This window comes from Homo sapiens, chromosome 19 (genome assembly GCF_000001405.40).
Source record: "Homo sapiens chromosome 19, GRCh38.p14 Primary Assembly".
In the NCBI taxonomy this organism is placed as follows: domain Eukaryota; kingdom Metazoa; phylum Chordata; class Mammalia; order Primates; family Hominidae; genus Homo; species Homo sapiens.
Window position 1 is genome coordinate 30,072,128 of NC_000019.10, and position 25,160 is coordinate 30,097,287.

Genomic DNA, 25,160 nt, shown 5'->3' on the forward strand with positions numbered 1-25,160 from the left:
CCTGCGGCCCTCACTGTTCGCACCTTTAGGAGCTGCCTCTGGACAGGTCTCTGCCCATTGTTTTGTTCAGAGCTCAGCCAAGGACTTCTTACACTTTTTGTTTGTTTGTTTGTTTAACATTCCATGGTCCTGTCTGCTCTTTTTTGCCTCCTCCGCCTCATTCGGCTTCTGGGTCAGGCATCTGTTGTAGGCTGCCGTACTGCCACAGGTTGAATCATGTCCCCCAAGCTTAGATATTGAAATCTTAATGCCCAGTGCCTCCGGTCGTGACCTCATTTGGAAATAGGATCATTGCAGAGGGAATTTGTTAAGATGAGGTCACCCTGGAGTAGGGTGGGCTCCTAACCGGGTAAGATGGTGTTCTTATAGAAAGGGGAAAGTTGAGGCCGGGCGTGGTGGCTCACGCCTGTAATCCCAGCACTTTGGGAGGCCGAGGCGGGCGGATCACGAGGTCAGGAGATCGAGACCATCCCGGCTAAAACGGTGAAACCCCGTCTCTACTAAAAATACAAAAAATTAGCCGGGCGTAGTGGCGGGCGCCTGTAGTCCCAGCTACTTGGGAGGCTGAGGCAGGAGAATGGCGTGAACCCGGGAGGCGGAGCTTGCAGTGAGCCGAGATCCCGCCACTGCACTGCAGCCTGGGCGACAGAGCGAGACTCCGTCTCAAAAAAAAAAAAAAAAAAGAAAGGGGAAAGTTGAGCTGAGCATGGTGACTCACACCTGTAATCCCAGCATTTTGGAGGCTGAGGCAGGAAGATCACTTAAGCCCAGGTGTTTAAGACCAGCCTGGGCAACACAGGGAGACCCCATCTCTACAAAAAATAAAAAAAATTAACTGGGCATGGTGGCACAAACCTGCAGTCCCAGCTATTCGGGAGGCTGAGATGGGAGGATTGCTTGAGCCCAGGAGTTGGAGGCTTGAAGTGAGCTATGAATATGCCCCTGCATTCCAGGACTGGAGACAGCACAGTTTTGTTGTTTAAACCTCCCAGTCTGTGGTACTTTGGTACACAAGCACCCAAGCAGGCCGATACACCCACGTCTCCTTCATAGCGCTTGACACCACAGCAATTATGCACTGAGCTGAATGAGTTTTGTAAACTCCACGAGGGAAGGGACAATGTCTGCAGTTGCCTGTGCACTCTGCCATATCCCAGCACCAGGCACGGTGCCTGGTGTATCCTAGATGCCCAAAGAGTGGCTGCTGGATCCATGGCTGAGTACCTTGCTATCTCCAGCCAGAAATACATCCGTAAGCACTCACTGGTGGATCCCTCTTGTATGCCCAGGACTGTGCCAAGGGCTGGCTGTGTATGTGGGGCACACCCAAACAACCTGCCTCAGCACGTCTTGATGGAATATTATTTTTATTTCCTGCAGACCGTGGGTGCTAGGAGTTGGGTGAGATGGGGGCTTTGCCAGGGGTTGGGAAATTCAGAATGGAACCCTGAAGGTAGCCCTCACCTTGGCAAGAGGGGTGGTCGTGGAAGACCTGGGACAATGGAAAGCTGGGGTTGCTGCTGGGGGCAGGCAGGGCCTTGTGGCCCCTAGCAGCACTGACTGGCTGTCATCATCACAAAGGATCCTTACACTGTCTGGCTGAGCAGGGCATGGAGCCGCAGCTCCGGGGACACCGCAGGGTATCACAAAGGATGGTTCCTGTCTCTCCCGAAACACAGGTGCACTTGGCGCTCCCTGCTGGAGGGGGCTTCATGGTGGAATAGACTTGGTGCCCTTAGATCACCAGCTGCCAGAACTGGGGAGGACTTCAGTGATCATGGAGTTCATCCCGCGGCCAAGTTGTCAAGTGAGGAAACAGAGGCCCAGAGAGGGGTAGCAACTTTTCCAAGGCCACACTGCAGCTCAGGTTCAGAGCATGGGGAGGACCCTGCCCCGGCCCTGGACTTAGGGGTCAGATGCTTTTCCAGGAAGCAGGGATTGAGGAAGCACTGGCATTGATAGGCAACTCAAGATTTTTCCTTTCTTTTCCCCTCATTTCCCCTCCATGAAAACCTGAGTCTTCAGCATTTGATGGGACCCCAGGAGCTGGTGGCTCTTCTGCTTCCCCACGCTGCTCCTTCTCGCTTGCTCCTCTGTCTGGCCACCCTGGTCCTCACACTAACCCATATTCAAGCCCTCGCAGCCACACGCAGTGATCCTTGGGGTGCCCACACTCAACCAGGCCATATACAAAGTGCATCTTTGTGCTATGCTTGTGTGTCCACAGGGCCACACACAGGACACACCCCACACACAGGCACCTCAGGCATAGCGTGAACACGCACAACCCCGCACACACACACACACACACACAGCCCCCCCCCTTCACCCCTCACCATTCCCACCCCAGGCAGTTCCCTGCCTCTCCTCAGCACAGTGGGAACAAGGGATGCTGACTCTAGATGAGCTCTAGGGAAGGGGTTCCCTAGGAATAGACCACTGCAGACCAGCTTCTCAAAATCATGACATGAGCCAGACCCACAAACCCACATTTCAAGCAGAGCCTGAGGACTAAGGCTTGGAGGCTGGGAAAACCAAGTGCTGTGGTCTCCTTCCTCCTCCAGTCTCTCCTGGTCACGTGGATGCCTGGCCTGTGGACACGCCATCCACTCCCATCCTTTCCCATCCCCTGCATGGCTCATGATCAAGGTGACGGGGGGAAGACAGCTGTCCCTCTGCAACTTCTGCAAACTGCAAGCCAGGCCTCCTCCACTCCTAGCCTCTGGCATTCCTGGAAAACTGGGCTCTCAGCAGGAACTTCCAACAGGTTCTACCCCAGAGAGCTGGCCCCGACTCCACCTGGATCCAAGCCCACCGGCTGGCTAATGGGCTGGGAGCAGGTCCTGCCCTGCCCCGGGAACGGTCACTGTGGTTCCATCTATCCCAGGGCGGTTTCCCCCCTGGAGCCCTTCTCCAGCAGGAGAGCACTGAATGGCGAGCCACTGGCCCCTCGCCCGACCTTCGTGAGCCAAGGCTGAGTTTATTGTCAGAAAGATGACTAAGAAATCCCCGACACAGTGTATCATCAGCATTATGATTGGAGAAACAACACCTACAAAATCTATGATTCATTAAGTGTAACCAATATATAATTTAAAACAGTGGGTTTTGTCAAATAATGTGAGGTCAGCATAATTTTCTGCCTATTACTAATATCTATAACATCTTTGCCTTAGTCAGCTCTATTTAAATATGCAATCATTTACAGCTTTTGAGAATATTTCTGTGTACTCCCAATTTCCAATATTCAACTACGACAAATTTTATGCTGACATCAATAGCAAACTATTAAAGACAGTATTTCATTATTGGTTTTTCATCCCAAAAGTTATTTACAATTATATACTAAGCACTAATATTAAAGGAAACCATTTAAATGAGGTGCTATCTACTTTAACAATATGTCTGTCACAGAATGAGATTGTGTTTAAAGATTTTATCAAGAAATGGTTGTTTGCTGAGGTTATGTTTTGTCCATGAAATATGCATTTCATATCTCTTTCATTTCATTAACATAATTTAATTTGTGCTTTGCATTTTGTGCATAATACATATTTGATTTACAAAACAAATATTTCCATTAGAAAATGAATTTCATGCAGGCAAAAAAGCAGAACCAAATGATGTATTGAAGGAAAATAAGAAGAAATGAAATGCATTTTCTCAGTCTATTAAAAAATCTATGGCATTGACAGAAAGTGCACTTAGTGTTACGTTTAAAAAATAGCACATATGTCAATGTATTAACAAATAGAATTGGAAATACAAATATTTCCCTATATCAAGCCAAGAATCTCTTTATTTTAATTGAGTTGATTTAAAAGCCCAACTACAATTTAATTTTTATTTCATGATGTGGTGCTGGGGCTGGTGCTGTTGGAACTGCGTGGGGTTGGCGGTTGATGGAAGAAGATAGTTGACCTTAAAAATGGCTTTTATTGACAATGGAGAGACATGGTTGAATAGGAAGGAAACGGGAAGCGGGGCCTTTGTGATCTGGGGGGCTGGGAGTGGTGAGCGGGGCTGGCGGGCTCCTGAGCCGCTCCTGGCTTGGCTGTTCCTCTGCCAACCCCTCCCCAGCCCCTCTCATCCCCACCTGGGGCTGCTGGGCTGTTTGGGGACCCAGGAAGTGAGGAACGTGAGTCTCCCTTAGCCCACGCCCGTGATGGGGGCTCTGGAGTTAGAGGAATGTAGGAGCTCAGGGCTCAGGATCCACTAGGACCTTGCTCCCCCTCCCAGCCCACAGGGGAGCCCCCTCCAGGCCAGGAGCGGGCTGTGTATGCTGGGGGCAAGTGCATCTCAACCTTATTTAAAGGGGATGTGTGGGGCTGACAGTGGTTATGTCAACAATGGAAGAAGTGGCTGAGATGCCCAGGTCGGTCACTGACACAGGGCACCGGGCAGGACCCCCAACCCACTGGCCCAGGCCTGCCTCTCCCACCCCTCACTGTCCCCACCCTAGGCAGTCCCCTGCCTCTCTTCAGCCCAGTGGGAACAAGGGATGCTGACTCTAGGTGAGCTCTAGGGAAGGGGGCCCTAGGAATAAACCACTGCAGACCAGCTTCTCAAAATCAGATGAGGAAACTGAGCCCCAGGGCATGATGTTGCACAGTGGGTCTGTGGCCAATCCGTCTACACTGGCTACCGTGACTCTGCTCCTATTCCCTAATCTGAAAGCTCTTTCCTGTACCCCGCTAATCCACACCCAGCCTACCCTGGGCCCCCACAGAATAAGGAAGTAGCCCTTGGCCTGCCAGCCCCTGGGACCCACGAAACCGGGTGGGAGGCTCTCACCTGCCGGCTCAGCCTGTCGGGAAGATCCCAGTGGCCTCTTTGTTGGGGAGGGCTCCTCAGGGCGCCTGAGAGCCTCTACTTTATGTATGCAGAGGGCAGTGGTGAGCATGCGGATCTCAGTGTGGCTGAGGTGTACAGTTGCACAGGCTGTGCACTGAACCACAGTAGGAGTGTCTTTCACATGGATGAACACGAGAAGGGCTCCCCCAGGAATTGTGCAGTGCAGTAGCTCTGGCTCTGCACCAGGGCTCTCAACCAGAAGGTAACATCACACCATCCTCAGTCATGGGACATCACAGGCAGGGATGGGGCTGCTGCCACACTCTCATACACATTTACACATGCTCAGACACACTCTGACATACTCACAACTCACACTCTCACACATGCACACTCCTACCCACCCACATGCACACACACTCATCCATGCTCACCACCCTTTCACAACCTCTGGAGGCCCTGAGGGCCAGCCTGCCCACCTGTGCCCAACCTGGCTTGTGCTCTCCCCATCGGAACGGGGCTCCCCTGAGGCTGGGCCATCCCTCCCTGACAGTCTCCCTAGAACCTCCAGGCCAGAGGAGCCTGGGCCACCGTGCATGTGGGCGATGTTCACAGGCCTTTTGGCCACAGGTGCCAGGCCAGGGGCTGAGGGGGACAAGGAGGGCTTCCCCCAGTATCTGGATGGGATCTGTGGACTGGGGGTGTGTGCTGGCCAGCCCTGGGATGCCCTGGTTCCTGCTTAAAACCTTGCCCCACTTCTCCAGCCTCTGCCCCTCCCATGGCCTCTCTGCCACCCAGGGCCAGAGGAGAACGTGGTTTGTAATTAGAAAAATCTCTTTTCTTTCAATCCCAAGGACTGCAAAAAATAGAGAGGGAGGAAAGCAGCAGAGAAACCAAGAAGCTGAATTTCCACTCAGGAGAGGCATGAAGGGGAGTAAAGAGGGTTGGGGCAAGGCCTCCCATCTGGGGCCGGGATGCCTGGCTCTCCTGGTGCCTGTCTTGAGACACTGTGTGTCAGGAGCTCCTGGACAGCAGCAGATAGCTCTCTGATTGCCCACCATAGTGGGCACCCAGCCCCAGCCTGGGCTCCTAGCTGCACTGCCTGGGGCTGATGGGGAACCAGAGAGCCCTCTCGGCCTCGCACATCTCTGTTACACCACGGGGCTGCTGAGGCCACTGATCCTGGAGGGGCATCACAGAGGGTGAGCCCCGCCCATTCAGATCCTGTCCCAATGCCCACCTGTGGTAACACCTTCCTTTCTCTCAACCTGGCCTTTCTCACCCACAAGGTGGGAATGGTGATTTCCACCTCTCGGGAGAAGAGAGAATGGGTAAGAACTGGCTCACTGGGGACTGGCCATGGGCTGTGCGTGAAGGGAGCTGCCGGGACAGAGCGGGAGGTCCTGGCTCCCCGGAGTACCTGGCCAGCATTCCCTTGGCCAGGAGGAGGCTGGGAATGTGCTGATACAGGAAAGCAGCCTGCTTTCTGCCTGGTATATTGGAAAGAAATCCATCTCTCGGGGAGGACAACCTCATCATATTAGAGGTATAGATTTCTGGCTTCAGCTGGGACAGAAGTCCTCCTTCCCGAGAGGGAAGGGCAGTCTTCCCTACCTTTTACAGCTCCTTCAGAGACCCTGGGGCTGCAGGGGCCAGCGTCTCTGGGAAGGGCTCACCAAGGTAAGGTGGTCAGGACCCAGTGAGCCTTTCCCAGAGAGGGTTCAAAAGAATGTCTGGGGCCAAGTTCAGGTCTGGGGCCATGTCCATCCCTGAGGAATCTGGGAGCTGTCTCCTCCCCAGCCAGGTGCCATCTCCTATGGCCCCGACCCAGCCACACATGAGACAAGGCATCCCATGCTGATGTGGACAGTTAGTGTGTGTCACATGACAACACGTGTCTGCCTCACCTGATGCCAGGCACTGCAGAGACTAAAGCCTGGGACCCCCTCCCCACCAACAGTGAAGCACATTCCCCAAAGGGAATTTATCCTGGAGCTATTTTAACGACAGTTCGATTGCAATACTTTCTTTTATTATATATATTTAATTTGTATACAACTAATATAGGTGCAGAATTTTAAACAGCATGTCACACATGGAGTGAAAAAAAAAAGCAGTCTCTGTTTTATCCCTTCTCACCCTGATTCTGGCTCCCCTGGGGGCCACTTTCCACTCTTTGAGCTGTTCTAATTGCCCTGGGTTTTTTTTTGTTATTGTTTTTGCTTTTTATTTTTGTAATGTACCATTGGTAATTTATGCCAGATTTCTCACCAGAACGGTGAACTCTTATCATGATTGTTGACATATTCGGCTGTGTTCTGTTTCTATTTTTTTCTCGAGGATGTCCTTCTGACAGTGTTTGGATCTGCTAATTGCTCCCAAGAATTGGGGTTCAGCTGCTCTCCCGGTGTCTTCCTTCAGTCTCAGCCTGCAAATCGCCTTTGCCATCTCTGTTCCATAAGCTACCTCTTGCTCTTTCTTGGTTTACACCTTTGTTTTGGTGGTGCACATCCTCCAGTGGCTTTGGAAAAAAGGAGCTTGGAAAATGGCCTTTTAAAGACTTTGCATATTTGAAATGCCATTTGTCCACCATCCCTCTTGATCAACCCATTCAATTGGATCTAGAATTCTAGGTTGAGATTATATTTTGTCAATGTTGAAGGCATTACTTCATGGCTGTCTTAATTCCTGGGTAGCTTTTGAGAAGCCCAATGTCTTCTCTCTTTTCTAGTCCCAGTCTTTTGACTGTGGCTTGTTTTGTCCTCTGAAGCTTTAAGACCCTTTCCTTATTCCTGTCATTCTGAAATCCTGCAAGGATGGGCTCTTTCTATCTGGAGACTCATGTCCTGTAATCCTCCGATGCCTCCTTGAGTGATTTCCTTCGAAGTGCTCTACCCAGACTTTTCTCAGTCACATCTTTCTGGGACTCTTATGAGTCCTCTATTTGAACTTCTAACTCTGCTATCCACTCTCTCCTTGGATCTTATCTTTCCTCTCCTATTTTTTATATTTTTTCTTTCTGTTCTACTTTGCAGGGGATTTCCTTAAGTTTAATTTCCAACCACTCTATTGATTTATTTTTAAATTCTGTCCTCCTATTTCTACTTTTTAAAACACTTTTTTCATTCTTTCTTTTTCTTTTTCTTTCTTTCTTTGTTTTTTTTTTTTTTTTTTTTTTTGAAATGGAGTCTTCTTCTGTTGCCCAGGCTGGAGTGCAGTGGCGCCATCTCGGCTCACCGCAATCTCCACCTCCCAGGTTCAAGCGTTTCTCCTGCCTCAGCCTCCTGAGTAGCGGGGACTACAGGTGTATGCCGCCATACCAAGCTAATTTTTATATTTTTAATGGAGATGGGGTTTTACCATGTTGGCCAGGCTGGTCTTGAACTCTTGACCTCAGGTCATCTGCCCACCTTGGCCTCCCAAAGTTCTGGGATTATAGGCGTGAGCCACTGTCACCCAGTCTTTTTCTTTCTTTCTTGTTTATTTTAGCAAATGTTCTTTTTGTCAATCTCCCATTCCTGTGTCATGGAATCATGTCCTTTCTTCCCTCTCTGGGGGGTTCATGATGACTTTGTGGGTGTTTCCTCTTGCCCCTGCATTGCCTGCAACTCTCACAAGTTGCTCTTTTGGCCTCTGCCTCTTGCATTGGAGGCTTTCCTCAGACATAGTGGCCGTCTTGGAATGAAGGGCCAGAGGAATTAACCAGAAGGTTTGCAGACAGGGCTGGCTGGCTGGGGCCTTGTGGTGGGTGACGGGGAATGAATGCCTCCTTCCCTGGGAACTGTCACATGTGGCATCCACTAGTCTTTCTTTTGGGCCAGTCATTTTTTGTCAGTGAGAAGTCCGCTGATGTCCTGTGGGCACGGAGGTCAGTTCTGGGGTCCTGGGGGAAGCTGGGGCTCACCATTCCCTAAGAAGCATTTCTACATATCTTGTTTTTGTCAGGGGGTACTGCCTCTGCTCAGCTTCAGAGAAGGAACTCCACTTTCTGCTAGGCTGATGGCCCCCTCTTTTGGCCACAGAGGGCTGGGAGATTACTGGGGTGACTCTGGCTCTCAGCCAGCCCTCTGGTTTTAGCTCTGTCTACACCCCATGCTCAAACGTACCTGTTGCCTCCAGTCCCTGAGTGTCCCCTGCTGCAGCTGCATGGCTGCTCTCACTCACTCGGTTGCTGCTGCTCATCTGCTTTCTATCTGCCTCAGCCTGTTTTTTCTGCTTTAACAAAATCCCCAAGACTGGGTAATTTATAAACAACAGAGATCTATTTTCTCACAGTTCTAGAGGCTGGGAAGTCCAACACCGAAGCACTGGCTGTGGAGGGCCAAGTCTCTGCTTCCAGGATGGTGCCTTGTTGCTGCATCCCCCTGGAGGGAGGAACGCTCTGTCCTCACATGGCAGAGGAGCAAAACAGCAAAAAGGCCTGAGCTAGTGCCCTCCAGCCCTTCTAAAAGGCATGGACTCACCCCAAGGGCAGAGCCCTAATGCCCTGATCACTTCACAAAAGGCCCCACCCCCCAGCACCACCACAATGAAATTAAGCTTCAACATAGGAATTCTGGAGGAGACACATTCAAACCATTGCATCATCTCTCCAACTTTTTGTCAAAATCCCTTTTTGTGTTGTCTCCCTTCCCATTCTCTCTGCTTTGTGGACTTGAGCCTTTTTTATTCTCTTACTGTCAGCTGTGGGATTTGACATGAAAACAGAGAGGTACTTGCATGGCGACTCTTCCCCTTGTACCCAGAAGAACACGACTGCTGGATAGCTCTGTGCCAGTCCCTTCCTGTCCTTTGGACCCAGGTTGCTCATGTGAGGAAGAGGAAAGTGTTGGGGAGATGGCTTCTCAAGTATGGCTGGCTCTGGTGGTGTTTCTGGGCTCTTCTAAGGTCTCCGGAAACCTTCATAGACTCTGCAGAATGAAGCACCACAGCTTGGTCCAGGGCATCTGCAGATTGAGACGGCCCTCTCTTCCTCCCAGTCCCAGCTGACTCCACCAGGATCCAGCACCCAGCAATGACCACGCAAGGAGCCCACTGGCCCCCTCCCCAGATGCTGGGGCATTCCTTCTCTCACACTCCGGCCACCAGGGTAGGAGTCTCCCAGCTAGGACCCTAGACTCCTAAAGCTTCATGCCCAGCAGAGATGTGGGTGTGACAAAACAGGGAGTGGTAGAGACCGTGGCTCCAGGCAGCTCATGTTCCCTCAAAAGACATGCATTTCGAAGCTTTCGTAACACTAAGCTGTCTTGTAATTACCTACGTAACACTAAGCTGTCTTGTAATTACCTACGTCTGCCAGCTGTATGCTTTGTTTTAAAATATAGTATATTAGCAGGAAATTTAAGGTGCAATACGGCCAATGGATCAGGAGACAACTGCCCCGGACAAGGTGGTTAGTTACTCACAGTCCCCACCAGGAGGGGGCATGCCACACCCCCAGGGCCACGTGGGGCAGCACCAGGATGGGTCAGAGGCAGAAGGAGAGAGGGGAACGCCAGGCCAGGACCTCCATTGTGGTTTCCATGGGCAGGAATGGGAAAGGGAGGGTAAGCAAGTCTAGGAGGGCTAGTCTGTGTCATTTCAGCAGCTCTGGGGCACAGGGACTGTCCCTGGTTCTCTGGTACTTGGCCCTGGGGTGATGAGAGCAGGTGGAGAGTGGCCTGGAGGACGAGAGCCAGCAGAGGAGGTGGTAGGATTGTGGGCTCTGGATCAGTTGGGTTGCATTTGAAAGTGCCTTGCTGGTGGTGAGCTGTTTACCTTCTCTAAGCACTGGCTGGCTCTGGCAGGGGCAGCCCCTTCTGGGCCAGCAAGGCTCCACATGTCCAAACAACAGAAATACAGAAAATAAGAGACGTAACTCATGCGTTCCTCCCTCCCGGCTGCTGGTGAGGCACCGCTGCTGGGCATCAGGGGGCTGGAGAAGGTGCAGACCTGGCCATGCCAGAGGCCGTATGCTGGGGGCTTCCTCTTGGGCTGAGGGGGTTCTGGGCTGTGTGGGGGAAGAGCAAGTTCTGTTTAGGAAATCCTAAGTAAGGACTCAAGAGGGAACAGGCTGCATTGGGTGGTAAGGGGTTTCTGGGTGAGGGCTGTGAGCTGGCTTGCAGAAGAAGCAGGACTTTGAGATGAGTGTGGCTATATGAAGGAGACACCCCTAAAGAGAGGGGGGATGGTCACCAAAAGCTATGCCATAGGACAGCCCTGGCCACTGAGGGGTGGGGCCTGTGGCTGTGGGAAGTTCTTCCTCTTCCACTTCTCTGCCCACCACCCGTCCCTGCCCTCTCCTCCTCCTTATCTGGGGCTGTCAACCTGTGGCCCAGTTCTGTGTGTCAATTGGCCTCTCGGAAGTACCCAGCAGCCCCTGCTCAAATCCCCTCTCCCCTTGTCCGGTGTGACCTGGCAGGTGAGTCCCTGCCAAGGCCTTAGGGTGATGGGGTACTGTAGAAAGATGGGTTTGTGCTCCCCTGTTAATGCTCCTGCTGGCTGGGAGAGGCTGGGTTACCACCCCATGGTTCCCAGACGTTGGTGGGTGAGGGAGCCGGCGTGGGGCGTTGCCCAGGGGAGGGATCTCCTCAAGTGGTTCCTGATGGCGGGAAAATAAAAATGGTGATTTAGAGGCCGCCCCCACTCGACGGGCTTTCTTAGCCGAAGACGTTCAGCTAATGAACCTCAAGCAGATTCATGGCCGGGTGTGAAGTCAACGGAGTCCTCACTCCGTGGAGACGAGCAGCATAAATCTTTGTTTTTAATGTCTAATGATATGTAAAATATTTAAATTTGCAACGCAGAATTATTAAGCTGCCAAGGTTTTTTTTGCCTATTAAAGTGTATTCTTGCCTGAGAATTTATGGGGCACCCTGTGGCCGCCGCCAGCCCCCGTTAGGGGACAGGAGGTATAGATTTGTGGTCTCCTACTGTAAAAAACTTCAGGATCGCCTGACCCTGTAAACTGAAAATTCATGTCTCTCGCCCGGGGACAAATGCATTCTTTGTAAAGGCGGCCCGTGGCCAGCCTTGGGCTCATGTTAGTTTATTGTCACTGGTTGATAACGTTTAATGGAAAAGATACAAGAGTGCCAAAGAATTTTAATTATTTTTGTGATAAAGTTATATGTTCGGCCTTGAAAAAGTAGAGATAATGCAGGGATTCATTATTATTCCCAGTGTGTTTAAACAGACAACGCAGAATGCAAACAAAAGCAGATGAAATTTGAAAAGTATTATCAATATTGCAGATAGCAGATGCCCTTTCGAATCAGAACAAGCATATCTTCTATAGCAACTTTATGGTTGAGTAGTTTATTCATTTCCATTAGAAGGTTGTACGTTTCTAAAATATGTAGATGGTATCTAGAAAAACCAACCAACCAGACGGGTCATTCTGCTTGTTTTCCTAAATTTATTATTTCACTTTTGCAGGCCCGGATCTGAGGGGCATTAACAGGGGAGCAGAGTCTTACTGTGTCAAATTCTATCTTGTCCGTGACCTTTGGCGGGCTATGTGCTGGCACGGAGAGGAAGTTGGAGCGAGGTGTCTGGACCATGGCGAGGTTTGCGTTTGCCGTTATCTGGGTTGCATTGGCGAAGCTGCCAGTCAGGGTCTGCCTGCCTGTCGTTAAACTTTCCACATTCCCTGGGCTCCCTCTGGCACCCGACGGAGGGAAACAGAGTCCAGGAGAAAACTGCACACACCCCTCACCATCCATTTCTTTTCCCCGTGCCCTCTGCCCTGGATTCAGATGTGCAGAGGTGATTTGGGTCCTGCCTCAATGTGTAGAAATGGACCTGACTTCTTCCCAGGGCTGTGGGCTTCCTTGGCATTGTGCCAGGGGATAGAGTTCTGGCTTTCTTGAGCAGTCAGGGCTTTCCAAGTTGTGCCAGTTTTTTTTTTTCTTTTTTTTTTTTGAGACGGAGTTTCACTCTTGCTGCCCAGGCTGGAGTGCAGTGGCATGATCTCAGCTCACTGCAACCTCCGCCTCCTGGGTTCAAGTGATCCTCCTACCTCAGCCTCCCGAGTAGCTGGGATTACAGGCATGCACCACCACGCCCAGGTAATTTTTGTATTTTTAGTAGAGACGGGGTTTCATCATGTTGACAAGGCTGGTCTTGAACTCCTGACCTCAGGTGATCCACCTGCCTCGGCCTCCCAAAGTGCTGGGATTACAGGCGTGAGCCACCATGCCCAGCCGTGCCAGTTGTTTTTTGAGGTTAGGAGCAGTCCCTAGAGAACCAACTGATCCCAAAGCCCCACCAACTCCTCTTGGAACCTGATCGCCTTCCTATCTTGATTTTTGTTTCTAGGAAATGGATCAATTCTTGCCCTCGTGTTCACTGAATGAAGTAACTTACAGCCCCAGCTTTGCAGCCAGACAGAGCCCTGGGCAAGTTACCCTGGCCTCGGAGCCCCCACACCTGACACCCCACGTGTTCTCAGCTGTAACGTGGGTTGCAGACACCCGTGTTGCCAATGTTATTACCATGATTGTTGTTTTCTTCCACTGGCAGATGCACAGGAAATGGCTCTCTCTGCTGAACTGAGCACCTCTGGGGCTCCTTCCTGGCCTGGGGTTTCTTTGAGACAGGCCCAGGAGAGTGACAGCCGGGCCTGAGAGGGAAGGACAGGCTGTGACTCACAAAGGTGCAGGAGTCCTCTCCCCGGGTTCACCGGGAGCTGACGGGCTAGGCCGTGGGAGGCCTTGAGACCAAGCTCCGACTTTGGAGATGGGCCAGGCTTGGCTGGGCGCCTCCAGTGGTTTTGAACAGGGGGCGCCATGAGTTAACTGGTGCTTTCAGAAAGCTAAACCTGGCAGCAAGTGGCTTCTTCAGAGAAGGGACTCACCCAACATCAGAATGTTTACCAAAATCAATCACGCGGTGGGCCATAGAGAAAGTCTCCTTACACTGCAAAGAATCTGTGTGGTTATACCGTGTCTGCGATCACAGTGAAATACAACTAGATATTAAAAGCAAAAGAATAGCTCAGAAATTCTGTTTGGAAGCTAAATAGCATGTTTAAAATAGAAACAATAAAAGAAATCAGAAAAATCAAGGATGGCATGATTTTGAGGATGCTACATGCCCAAATGTGTGGCACACAGAGAGAGGGAAATCTATGCCTTTAAATCTATTTATCAGGAAACAAGAAGGGTTGAAAACAAACCAGCTAGGTGTTTGCTCCTAGAAACTGGAAAAAGAGCTACAGAGCAAACCTAAAGGAACAAGAAAGATGACAGGAATAAGGACAAGGGCAGGCACAAATAAATAGAGATTAGCAAAGGTGCAGACAGGTTTTTTGGAAAGATTAACAACGACAGAGGGAGGGCCACGAGATGATGCTGTCAGGAGGGCGTGCAGGACACAGGATGCTTTGGGCTGTAGGTGTGGGGAAAAGGCAACCAGGTTTTTCCATGCATCTCACAGGACTGGTTTGCCTGGGACAGCCCTGGTTTCTGCCTGTTGTCCTGGCTATCACTCATGGCATCTCCCATCCCCTCAAAGGGTCCTGCTTTGGAAGGTAACTGACACCAGTGCTGTCCAATAGGAACTGAGACCCTTATGTAACTACTGAGATGTGTGGTTGGTGCAAATTCACATCAGATTTTGAAGACTTAGTATGAGAACAAGAAAGTAAAACATCTCATACATACGTGTGTGTGTGTGTGTGTGCGTGTATGTTTTATTTTTATTTTTATTTTTTTGAGATGGAGTCTCGCTCTGTCACGCAGGCTGGAGTGCAATGGCACGATCTCAGCTCACTGCAACCTCCTACTCCCGGGTTCAAATGATTCTCCTGCCTCACCCTCCCGAGTAGCTGGGATTACAGGTGCCACCACCACGCCCAGCTAATTTTTGTATTTTTAGTAGAGATGGGGTTTTGCCATGTTGGCCAGGCTGGTCTGGAACTCCTGACCTCAAGTGATCCAACTGCCTCGGCCTCCCAAAATGCTGGGATTACAGGTGTGAGCCACCACACCTGGCCTCATTAATATTTTTTATATTGATTACAAGTTCAATAATATTTTAGATCTATTGAATTAAGAATTAATACATCACTAAAATTATTTCCACCTGGTTCTTTGATGTGATTACTAGAAAATAAAACATTACTTCTGTGGCTTGCATTCTACTTTTGTGTTCAGTGCTGATTGACACGGTCACCCCAGCCATGGGCGGGACGCTGGGATGGGCCTGGTTAAAGGCAAAGGCTTCGGTTCAGATGCAGACCCCAGCACTAACTTGTCTTAGTCAAATAATACCAACTCCTTACGTTTCAATTCCCCCTTCTCTAAAGTGGCAGTAGGATGGGTCTCGGTCTCCTAAGATTTGGGGAAGTTCCACTTAGGTAACTCGCGTAAAGCACTCAGCGCTGTGCGGTTGGCATTCATTAAGTATTAGTTGCCAGTCATAAAACAGCATAACGATGAGATGCTTTTCCCCCCACAGCCCTGTGATGCCACTTTATTGCTTAGGAAGTGATGGTACATGAAATGTTCAGTGGCTTGCCCATGGCCTCAAGAGAGCAAAGCTGGCCTTCCCACCTCACCACATGACACTGGGGTAAGATGGACAGCGGGATCTGTTGCCTGTGCTCCTGTGAGCCGGCTGGCCTGGCAGAGGGGGCCTCTTTGCTTCTAACCACCCTTCCTTCCGCCAGCTCATCCTACTCTTCCCTAGAAGCCATCTCTGCCCACCAGCCCCCACTAATCTCAGCCCATCCTGGCCTCGAGTGAGGAGAGGATGTTCTCTTGGCCTTCTCTGCACACTCCGGGTTCCCCAAGTTTGGACCTTCGACTTTCCCCCTCTTTCTCCCCACTTGGTGCCCCCAGCACGTAGCATGAAGTTTGGTCCTCCACAAAGCTTGGCTGGGAGCTTGACAAATGTTCCTTGGTTTGTCAAACAAACTCTCCGGCTTGAACTAAGTGCCTTTCTTTCAGATTTCAGAATGGATGGGCCTCAGCCATGGCAAATCTGAGAGTCTTTGTGTGCAGAAATGCCCTTGGATGCCCTTGTCTGTGCATGGTTGCCAGAGCTGGTCACCCCAGCCAGACATGCTGGTCTGGGCACCTCCCGGGAGGAGCCCCGGGTGATGGCACCTGTTTTCATGAATGACACAGCAATCTCCACTTCAGTAAGGGCCGACCATACTGTTGATTCCTGCCCTGAGACCCTTCTCCCCTGCCCTGGTTCTAAGTGTAGATCCCTGGAGATCTGGGACTGACCAGATGAGACTAAGAGGGAGCGTAGACAAGGAGCCACAGGAGGCGACACTCCCGGTGGTGGATTCCTGCCTAAGTTCCAGGGAACTCAGAATCTGGGGGCCACGCTGGCAACATCTGTCTCTTGGCTTCCCAAAGAAAGACTAACATGCCAGCAAAGCCAGGAAATGTCAAGACCGAGAGCTCATGTGGATGTAGAACTTCACAGTTGACAAAATACTTTATGCTCTTTTATTTAATTTTCACAAAATCTCTGCTAAAGAGTGGTGTTATTCCCATTGTATAGCAGAGGAAGCCCAGACAAGCGAACTTGGCCAAGAACTCACAGGGCTTGAAAGGGACCCGCCTGGTCCCAGGGATGGGGTGTCACCAGCTCGGGCTGGGCAGCCTGCTGCCTCGAAGTCTACCCTGTGTACCCTGTTGGGTGAAGAGCATCAGGGATGAGAGGAGATTCTTGGGAGGCAGTAGAAAGGGTGGCAAGAGCTTGTGCTCAGGAGTTGGATAGGAGTTTAAACCCTGGTGCTCCCCGTTGCGTGGAAACTAATGAGGCTGTGGACAATCTCTTCGTCTTTGGGGGTTTCCATTTTCTCCTTGGGGGTGTTGCTAACACACCTCACCTGGCTGGTGTGAGGGTTTGGATGACGTAATGCATACCAGTGCCCAGGACAGAGGAAGCACCCTGTGAATGGTGGCCACTGTTGTTACCATTGGGCCAGAGATGTTGGAGAAGTCCCTGAGTCCAATCAATTACCTGGGAGGTTGAAGCCACATGCCCTGGGAGAGGGCAGGTGAAGTGCTGTTGACGGAGGCCCGGTTCCCTCGAGGCTGGGGGGCACCTCCAGCTTCCGACTCCTCCTGTTCTCCAGGTTCCTCCAGGACCAGACCCTGCAGCCCAGTCTGTCCCACTCTTGCAGGGTCTCTGAACCTGAAAGCAGCTTGGGAGGGGCGTTCTGTTGCGAGGCGTAGAGTGTTTATAAGAGGAGCCTGGAGAACTGGAGGAGTCCGAGGTTGGAAGTGCCAACCAGCCCCCAGGGAACCGTACTGCCTTGGCAGCATGTCACTCACTCTCTCCCAGGGCTGCATCGCTTCACACTTCCAGTCCTCTGTATGTCTTCTGTCTCCTGTCTGTCTGCACCAATACGGTGGCTCGCCCAAGCCCCATGACCGTGCAGGGCCGGATCCCACCACTGTTGCACTGCTTGGCCAGCTCAGTTCCAACAGGCTGTCGTCTGGCTTCCTGGGCCCTGCATCCAGCCCTGAATTAGCCACGTGTCATGCTACACTCAGGCCTAGCCATAATTTGGAAGGGGACAATGGCTAGCTTGACGGGGCGGACACACTGAACTGGGTCCTAGGATCAGCTTGCGCACCCCGTGGCGTGATCAGAGGAGACTTACGCCTACACATTTTAGGGACCAAGAAGGGAGGTGGCCACTTTCATCATGCAGCTGTCTCCACAGCCTGCATCCTCGGAAAGGAGCCACGATTTCCCTGCCTGGCTGCTCCCAGCCACCGTGGGTGAAGACCCCAGCGGCTTTCCGTGGGGACCAGCTGAAGGGACTTTCTCTGAGTGCCAGCAGAGGGAGGTGCCTCTGTTTTCTAAGCTCTGCCCTTCTTTGAAAATTGAGCTGCTTAAAATCAACCCATTTGGGACAAGCGGCCTTGACTCTTCTCCCATGATGTGCAGGGCTAATGTTAAAAGGTAAAATTGTGTGCGGGTTCCCAGGCAATCATAATTAGAGTAATTGTCCTGTGTTGCAGGCACCCCTCTTTCTTGGAAGCTTAAAGCACTCTGTGAGCATTATCCAATTAAATCTGGAAATAGCCGGGTGAGAGAGGTGGGGACAGACCATGCACTGTTTCTGGCCAGAAAACAGCAGCCGTGAGAGGTTAAGTGACTTGCCCAAGGTCCCAGAGTCAGAAACTGAGACCTGTTCAGCGCTCAGTGGATTAGCATCCAAAAAGCATTTACTCCACAGCTGCAGCTCACACGGCAGGTAGGAAGACCCAGTTTCATATGAGCGGCAGAAATTCCCCATCCAGCTCCCAGGTTGCAGTTTGCTCTGAAACCCAGCGGTGTAGCCCCCACCCTGCCCACCTTAGCTGACTACTGGGCCTCCTGCCCTCCTCCCAGCTCCTGCAGACCTTTGAAGGTACTGACGAGCCTAAATAAACCTTCCTGTAGATAACAGGTGGTGGTGGCCAAGAGAACTAACCAAACCAGATACATTTTATGGGTTGCAGAACAAATTAACTATGAGGAATAACTGTTTTTGAGAAATAACAGAGTTATAATTGTTTAAGTAGCTCTCTTGCTGGTGTGGTTTTATGGCTAGCCTCTGCTGAACTATAGACACCCCAACCCACGGGGCAGATGGGCAGTGGGACCCCCACAAGTGGCTTTGACCCCAAGTTCCATGACAGAAATGGACTGTGGACACCCCAGGTCATGCTGGGGAAACCGGTGGGAGAGGGTGAGGCCCTGCTGGCGACCCGTGAGAGCCCCAGGGTGTGCTGGGACACGGGTGGGAGAGGGTGAGGCCCTGCTGGTGTCCTGTGAGAGCCCCAGGGGGTGCTGCCATGGACAGCAGCTTTGCTGGAAAGTCTTCTCCATGTCTGGGATGATGACTGGAAAGACGGAGATGTGGGAATCTGTGAATGCTTCTGGGGATGGCCTCCATGCCAGAGTCCCAGAGCAGGAGTGTCCTTAGCAAATGTTGTACCCAACCAGGAGAAGGGACGGGCCAAGCCCTGTAAGGTGCATCAACATTTACACACTCATCACAACACAGGAGTGCCAGGCTCTGGAGAGGTTCCAGGGAGCCAAAATGAAATAACAAAAACCAAACAAAGCCCCAGGTCCTTGCCCTCCTGGGGCTTGTTGTCTCACGGGGGAAGCAGACATCTATTTTTAAGAGCCACACGGATACATGTATTATTTATGTGGTGAATTCCAGGAGGAGTGGGGCCCGGGAGATGTGTGGATAATGGAGCTGGGGGCGGGGACCGGCAGGAGCTGGGGATGCAGGAGACTCCCTAGGAAAGGGCGGTTGAGGAGGACCTGGTGGGTGTCACCAGGTGACACCTGTGAAGTGGCATATGTGTGTGTGCATGGGTGTGCATGTGTGTGCATAGAAAGGACCGGAAGGAAGCTGTCCCAGATACAGGGAATAGTAAGTAATAGTAAGGCTCCCCAGTGGGAAGGAACCAGAGAATGCATAAAGGGTAAGGGGTCTTGGTGCTGCATGAAAAGGAACCCTATGTTCAATATACCTTTTTTGGGGTGATGTAAATCATGGAAATTCAAGTCCATCTAAACTTTCCTTATGGGACTGTACAAGGGAGAGCATGGAGAGGCTTAATGGGGGCAAGTGTAGGAGAGGGTTAAACCCAAATGGCACGGCCCTTCCGGCTGGTCCCTGGTTACTAAGCTGTGCCTGGATTACAGCACCTGGGGCCATGGGGCCCCCACCCGGAGGGCTGCAGAGTGAGGGTCCCTGGAGCCTGAGTCCTGGCTGGAGGCCCAGAGGCCAAGGGATTACATGATGACATAGGGGATTGGCACAGAAGAGGTGCGGCCAGCATGATTACATCGTCCGTCCCTCGCAGCCTCCCAAAGACCACGGTCCACCTTGACTGCGTCTGCTGCCAAGGATGAGGCCTTTTGAGCATCTGCCCCAGGCCTGTCCCAGACACAGCGAGTGAGAGGGAAATCTTCAGAGGGCTGTCAGGGCCTTGCTGCTGGAGTGTGGCCCCAGGAAGTCATTGGGTGGGCTGTGGGGGCCCCAAGTGTCCTGTGACAATGTCGTCTAGGGCCTCTGCAGGTCCTTCCAACAGTGGGTCTGCACTGCCAAGCTCACTCATTTCGGCTCCCCCCACTGGCCCCCGGTGACACAGGGAGATGGGCAGGTTTGCCTTTCACAGGGTTCATTACTTTGTTATCAATGCCTCCTGCCCCTGCCCCCCACTTCCTGCTTGCTGCAAGGTCCCCCATCTTCAACAGTGGGTAGTGGGCCTGCTGGCCTCTGAGGCTCAGCCCCAGCTCTGATTGGGACCAGGGCTCAGTGGGCTCCTTCCTCAGGGGGAGGTCTCAGGCTCCTGGTGAAGCCCCCTGAGCTTCAGGAAGGTAAGTGCAGCCATTTGAACAGCCCTCATTGGCCGCCTTCCCATTGTGGAGAATTAGGTGGCCGGGCTCCTCCCTCCCACCCTACGATTATACAATAGATTTAAAGTCTCTGATATCCACAAATCTACATCAAAATATATTCTCTAGCTGTAGGGAACGTCTCAGAATTGTTAACCTTCTCCCCAGGTATTAGAGGTAACACACTGTGAGATTAGATGTATATTTTCTTCAAGATACACCACCCATTGAGGGGTTCATATTTACATCTTTTGTTGATATTTTTTATAGATTAAAAGCGCCTCTTTGCTAGGTGATAATTCTGCTAAGTACTGTAATTTGCTGCCATTAATATTTGTCTGAGTCCTAGTTTGCAAAATATATTTGAAACCACGTTAGAAAGTCGCATAATTGCTTCTTTAAGCTGGGGAAATAAGCAGTTTCTTTACCCAGCCTTTATCCTGTTAACCTCAGAGGGGAGGGGTGTTCATGGAGTCCTGGAATCGGCTGAGCACATCGGCCATTGAATTCCAGTGCCTACTGGGGGAGACGGTGCGGCCCGGCTGGGCCCAGCTGCGCCCAGCTGCTGGTGGCTTCTGGGCTGCTCCTCCCTGGGCCACCGAGGGACAGGAGACCCATGGAGAATGCACCACCCCTGCCTGGGTCTTAGGCCCTGGGGTGTAGGGAGAGCTGCCTAACCCCTGGGAGCCAAGACACCGCTCTTCCTGGGCCTCTCTTGGGTCCTCATCTGGAAAATGGAGGCACTGGCCTCCCAGCCTGACTCTCCCAAGGGAGGGTGTGGAAAGCCCCGCCCAGCAATCAGATGGCTCTGTGCCTGTCCCATTGTGGGCGTTCCACAAATGTTCAGGGCATGTGTAAATGACACAGCTGGTGGCCTGGCCAAGCCTGATCCCTGGGAGAGTGGGGCTTACAGGGGCTGAGCATGCCAGGACTCACAGGGCTGGGTGGTGGGGCAGGGGGCTCTCTGTGATCAAGACTAGGGGCAGGAGGCCCAGGGTGACCAGCACCTGAGCCTCTGGTTTCCAAGGCAGCTGGAGACCCCGGCTGTCTCCTGTGCTCCCCACACCACACACACCCACCCTCCAGGCCTCCCACCATGGGAACAGGCAGCTCCAGGCCCTTGCGAGCAGGTGGATTCTATAGTCATGGGACTGCTTACAAGAGGCTGCACCACACAGATAGAACATCCATCTGTTTCCAGTTTCTGTGCGCATTCTTCGGGGTCTTCTCTTGCACCCCAAGGTGGCAATCAACTGGGATATCTCTAATCAGAAGAGCATTTTGCCTTCTATTGATCTGAAATCTTTCCTCTCCAACTACCCAGCAGCTGTTCCCAGGTGTGAGCTAGGGCACCATGGAGCAGGACTGAGCTCTCACCTCCAACTCCACCTCAGCCATCAGGAGCCTCCTAGCCAGCCTCAGTTTATCCAGTAGTGAGATGGGGGTAATGATAGCCCTGACCTAACAGTGGTGTTTGTTGTGAGGATTAAAAGAGTGAAGGTGTGGCGAGCATTTGGAATAGCACCTAGTGATAGTATAATAGCATTTGGTAAATGTTATTGGATATTATTATATGGTACATCCATCAGCGTGTAGAGCGTGTATCTTTGTGTGCAGAGCCTGTGTGAGTGCGTGTGTGTTCTCACTATGTGCACCCCTGTGGATGTGTGTGACACACAGTGCACATATCTGTGTCTAGAGGGGTTGCCCATGTCTCTATGTGTGATCAACCCAGGCCCACACGCTTCCTGGGGTGCCCACAAGCATGGTTTCCTAATGGCTTCATCTCCTGCCCCTCAAGTTCTGTTCTTTCCATCTCCCCATGTCACCCTCCTGCCTTGGCTCCCAGCCCAGCCTGCACATGGCCTGTCCCTCCCAACCCCTCCAGCCTGCCCCCACCTCCTGCCATTGCTCGAAATACCTTCAGGGATGTTCAGGCTTTTGCCCTGCCATTCTCCCGGTCTGGAGCATCCTCACTTCCTCTTATCTGGGCCAACTTCCACTCCTGCATGGATTCTGACTGAAATGTTGCCTCCTCTGGACCGTCCTCAATCTCTCAGGTCCCCTGCATTGCCCTCATCCTGCAGCCCTCTTCCGCATGGTGCCAGCAGCTACCTGCTCCCCTGCGTAGGTGCAGATGCACCTAAGTTGGGAGCCCTGTGGCTGGGGCTCACTCCCATGGCCTCCCTAACTCCCGTCCTGGCTGAGCCCATTGTGGTCCACACAATCCTGTCCTCTGTGGCTCCTGAGAGTCTTGGACCCTCAATTCCCTTGCTGAAGGTGGAAAGGCTGTCTCAGGGGTGGGGCCAGCCCTCAGACACCTGGTCATCACACACCTGGTTATCAGGCACCCGTCCATGCCCCAGCATGATGTAGTGGAGGGTGGGGTAGTAAAGGGATAGTTTGGGTGAAGTCAGTGAGTCAGCTGGCTCTGCTGGGCTGCTGGGCTCAAGACAGTCGGGAGCAGGTGCCCAGCTCGAGAGAGGCCCCTCTAGCCTAGGCTGGTGCCTGGGCACAGCATAGCAAGGCAGATTGTTGTAGGGTCCAGCCCCTCTGAGCTGGGAGTACAGAGACTGCCCTCAGCTTGCCTGGGCCTCTCTGCCTGCTAAGAAGCTTCCACCAGTGGCCAGTGCCCCTCTCCCACCCTGCAGTTTCTGGTATTTGGAGGGCAAGTGCTTGTGTCTTCAGGCGTGACCCCCATCTCCTCCTCAGATTCCTACAAGATAGGGAGGGTACCTGGTGGATCCCTACTTGGCTGAACAAGAATTTAAGGCTCAGAGAGAAGTGAGTGACCCCAAGTCACAAGGCTCACTGGGCCTTGGGCTTCTGATGCCAAATCGGGTTGTTCCTGAGACCCACAAAAGGTGGTACAGCCACCCAGGTCCAAAGAAAAAAGCTCAAGGCAGGAAAAATTGGGGTGATTGAGCTGGGTGGGGGAGGGGCTTTGCTCAGCAGATCCTGATGCAGGCCCAGCCCCAGCGAGGCCCTTCTCTGTGCATACCCACTGGCCTTGCCCTGGCCACACAGGCCACAGAATGGGCTCTGCACACTGGGCTGAGGGAGGGCTGGCCCTGGCCCTGGAGGTGCAGTGCCGATGACCCTACAGAAGCCTGTCCTGAATCTTGAGGGGTTGGGAGACTGGGTCATCCACTCTGATGGGGTGAGGCCTTGGGGCAAATCCCCCAGCATCAGTGAAGTGAGCTGGAGCCTGCAGTGGGGCTCCGGCCACCAGCTACATGCACTGCACCTTCCCTCACTTGCCAGCCCTGGGGTGAAGGGGACTTACTTCTCTGAGCCTGATTCCTGTCTGCAGAGTGGTGACCGTCCTGGCACCTGCTTCCCAGGAGCGTGGCGCGCATTAGAGGAGATGTGTTCATTCGGGTTTCCACAGAAGTAAACTCTGAGAGGAATCTGAATGTATTTGGGAGGAAGTGCAGGGAGGGAGTAGGAGAAGAGAAGACGGCCAGGCGCTGTGCTCAGAAGCAGCTTAGGGCCACTGGTAACGGGGGCTTGGGTCTGCTGGGGACCTCCAGGGAACAGCAGAGCACAAGAGCCCTGGGAGTTATCTTCCCAGAGGGCAAGGACTCCAGGTGATTATCCAGCAGTTTCCCTCACTGGCAAGGGCTGCTTCCACGGTGTGAAACCCCAGGATGCGTGGCCAGTCCCATGCGCCTGCTGAGCACAGTCCAGGGCCAGTGACTGTCCTCAGCACAGTGGCAGATGCTAGTGGTAGGAGGCCGGGGGCACTGGGAATATGGAGGGAAGGGGTGGGGGTGGTGCATCGACATTCTAGAAATATAGGCCGGGTGCGGTGGCTCACGCCTGTAATCCCAGCACTTTGGGAAACCGAGGCAGGAGGATCACATGAGGTCAGAAATTCAAGACCAGTCTGGCCAACATGGTGATATCCCATCTCTACTAACAATACAAAAATTAGCTGAGTGGCGCGCACCTGTAATTCAGGCGACTTGAGAGCCTGAGGCAGGAGAATCGCTTCAATCTGGGAGGCAGAGGTTGTAGCGAGCCGAGGTGGCGCCACTGCACTCCAGCCTGGGTGACAGCGTGAGACTCCATCTCCAAAACAAAAACAAAAACAAAAGAAAAAAGAAAAAAAATACGCCTGGCGGAAGTTAGTGCTTCATAAAGGCTGGCTTCTGCTATTATTATTTCACATTGGAAGGGCCTCCAGAAATGGTCACACCTGATTTGTGTATTTTCATCAACAGAGGGAAACTGAGGTCCAGGGAGGAGGTCTTACCCAAGGCCACGTGACATGCATTGGTGGCAGCGCTGGTCCTGCACTCTGGGAGATTCCTCCGGGGCATCCTTGGGTGTTTGCCTGTTTAGCATGAGTTTATGGGACAGTCCCTCTGTCCTAGGCACCCCACGCACTGTGTCTCATCAAATCCTCACCAGGCGGTGTGCAATAGAAATCACAATCCCCATTTCACAGATGAGAAAACCGAGGCCCAGGAAGGGCAGAAGAATGGCCACGGCCACACATGTTAGGGAGTGGCAAAGCTGCAGTTTGAGCCCTCCACACAGGTGTTTAACTCTAGCACACATGGCCTTTCACGAGCATTGAAACTGATAAAGGGGAGTTGCGGGAAGCTCGGTAGTTTCAGAGACAAATACATTTTGTTGAGTGGAACAAATGTTCTGGCTATAACCAAGCTGCAAAGCTGTTGGAAAAGCACAGGTCAGGAATGGACACGGCTTCCAGGGAAGCCAGGGCTCAGAGCAGGTTCAACAGATGGAGGGGTCGCGGCCCCCAGAGCTGGGGAGCCCACTTGAGAAAGGGTTGAGGGAGCAGTGGGGACTGCAGAGAGAGGCTCCTGGATTGAGGGTGAGATGACCAGGGAGCTGGGCACACCCGCCACCAGTCCGCCCGCTGCCCATCTGCCTGCTGACTGCCATCTGCCCACTGGCCTGCTGGGTGACAGAGGTCAGGAGTTCGAGACCAGCTTGGAGCTGAACCCTGGAAGACACGCCACCCCCGTGCAGTGGGA

At 52.3% G+C, this 25,160-nt stretch overlaps 1 long non-coding RNA gene across 1 annotated transcript, besides 5 other annotated features; it reads left to right on the forward strand.

Moving 5' to 3' along the window:
• Positions 2,916 to 3,982: an enhancer, noted in NCBI's record as "VISTA enhancer hs382". NCBI's record gives its function as "enhancer in: neural tube[3/4] | dorsal root ganglion[3/4]" and the evidence as "EXISTENCE:transgenic organism evidence [ECO:0001131][PMID:17130149]".
• LOC107985271 (uncharacterized) lies at positions 6,006 to 14,917 on the forward strand. Its single transcript, XR_001754032.3, has 3 exons — positions 6,006 to 6,125; positions 12,211 to 12,341; positions 13,093 to 14,917. It is a non-coding gene; the product is annotated as an uncharacterized LOC107985271 (long non-coding RNA).
• Positions 11,353 to 12,326: an enhancer, noted in NCBI's record as "VISTA enhancer hs721". NCBI's record gives its function as "enhancer in: eye[5/10]" and the evidence as "EXISTENCE:transgenic organism evidence [ECO:0001131][PMID:17130149]".
• Positions 13,205 to 13,254: an enhancer, noted in NCBI's record as "active region_14427". NCBI's record gives its function as "activates an Ori minimal core promoter by ATAC-STARR-seq in GM12878 lymphoblastoid cells {active_cell/tissue: GM12878}" and the evidence as "EXISTENCE:reporter gene assay evidence [ECO:0000049][PMID:35858748]".
• Positions 20,408 to 20,938: an enhancer, noted in NCBI's record as "H3K4me1 hESC enhancer chr19:30583442-30583972 (GRCh37/hg19 assembly coordinates)". NCBI's record gives its function as "activates a minimal SCP1, AML or CMV promoter by ChIP-STARR-seq in naive H9 embryonic stem cells {active_cell/tissue: H9 hESC(naive)}" and the evidence as "EXISTENCE:reporter gene assay evidence [ECO:0000049][PMID:30033119]".
• Positions 20,939 to 21,467: an enhancer, noted in NCBI's record as "H3K4me1 hESC enhancer chr19:30583973-30584501 (GRCh37/hg19 assembly coordinates)". NCBI's record gives its function as "activates a minimal SCP1, AML or CMV promoter by ChIP-STARR-seq in naive H9 embryonic stem cells {active_cell/tissue: H9 hESC(naive)}" and the evidence as "EXISTENCE:reporter gene assay evidence [ECO:0000049][PMID:30033119]".